At 52.4% G+C, this 1,440-nt stretch overlaps 1 annotated feature.

Annotated features, from left to right (window-relative positions):
* Positions 594-1,132: an enhancer, noted in NCBI's record as "H3K27ac-H3K4me1 hESC enhancer chr20:54434810-54435348 (GRCh37/hg19 assembly coordinates)". NCBI's record gives its function as "activates a minimal SCP1, AML or CMV promoter by ChIP-STARR-seq in naive H9 embryonic stem cells {active_cell/tissue: H9 hESC(naive)}" and the evidence as "EXISTENCE:reporter gene assay evidence [ECO:0000049][PMID:30033119]".

The raw sequence follows: 1,440 nt of genomic DNA on the forward strand, positions 1-1,440 counted from the left end.
TCCAAGGATGTCCATGTTGTAATTTCAGGAACCTATGAATATGTTACCCTACATGGCGAAAGGGGCTTAGGTATGAGTAAGTTAAGGTTCCCGAGATGAGAAGATTATCCTGGATTATCTGGATGGGTCCAATGTAGTCATAAGGGTCCTAATGAGGAGGCAGAAGAGATGTGGAGATGGGAGCAGATGTTGAAGAAATATCACTGCTTCTGGAAGGGGGCCACAAGCCAAGAAATGTGGGCAACCTCTAGAAGCTGGAAAAGACAAAACAAACAACTGACAACAAAAAACCCAGTTCTCCTCTATAGTGTCCGGAAGAAACACAGATCTGCTGACACCTTGATTTTAGCCCAGGAGAAAATATGTGGGACTCTGACCTCTAGCAGCATAACATAATAAATTTGTGGGAGGAGCCAAGATGGCCGAATAGGAACAGCTCCGGTCTACAGCTCCCAGCGTGAGCGACACAGAAGACGGGTGATTTCTGCATTTCCATCTGAGGTACCGGGTTCATCTCACTAGGGAGTGCCAGACAGTGGGCGCAGGCCAGTGTGTGTGCGCACCGTGCGCGAGCCGAAGCAGGGCGAGGCATTGCCTCACCTGGGAAGCGCAAGGGGTCAGGGAGTTCCCTTTCCGAGTCAAAGAAAGGGGTGACGGACGCACCTGGAAAATCGGGTCACTCCCACCCGAATATTGCGCTTTTCAGACCGGCTTAAGAAACGGCGCACCACGAGACTATATCCCACACCTGGCTCAGAGGGTCCTACGCCCACGGAATCTCGCTGATTGCTAGCACAGCAGTCTGAGATCAAACTGCAAGGCGGCAACGAGGCTGGGGGAGGGGCGCCCGCCATTGCCCAGGCTTGCTTAGGTAAACAAAGAAGCCGGGAAGCTCGAACTGGGTGGAGCCCACCACAGCTCAAGGAGGCCTGCCTGCCTCTGTAGGCCCCACCTCTGGGGGCAGGGCACAGACAAACAAAAAGACAGCAGTAACCTCTGCAGACTTAAGTGTCCCTGTCTGACAGCTTTGAAGAGAGCAGTGGTTCTCCCAGCACGCAGCTGGAGATCTGAGAACGGGCAGACTGCCTCCTCAAGTGGGTCCCTGACCCCTGACACCCGAGCAGCCTAACTGGGAGGCACCCCCCAGCAGGGCCACACTGACACCTCACACGGCAGGGTATTCCAACAGACCTGCAGCTGAGGGTCCTGTCTGTTAGAAGGAAAACTAACAACCAGAAAGGACATCTACACCGAAAACCCATCTGTACATCACCATCATCAAAGACCAAAAGTAGATAAAACCACAAAGATGGGGAAAAAACAGAACAGAAAAACTGGAAACTCTAAAACGCAGAGCGCCTCTCCTCCTCCAAAGGAACGCAGTTCCTCACCAGCAACAGAACAAAGCTGGATGGAGAATGATTTTGACGAGCTGAGAGA

Source organism: Homo sapiens, chromosome 20, assembly GCF_000001405.40.
Source record: "Homo sapiens chromosome 20, GRCh38.p14 Primary Assembly".
In the NCBI taxonomy this organism is placed as follows: Eukaryota; Metazoa; Chordata; class Mammalia; order Primates; family Hominidae; genus Homo; species Homo sapiens.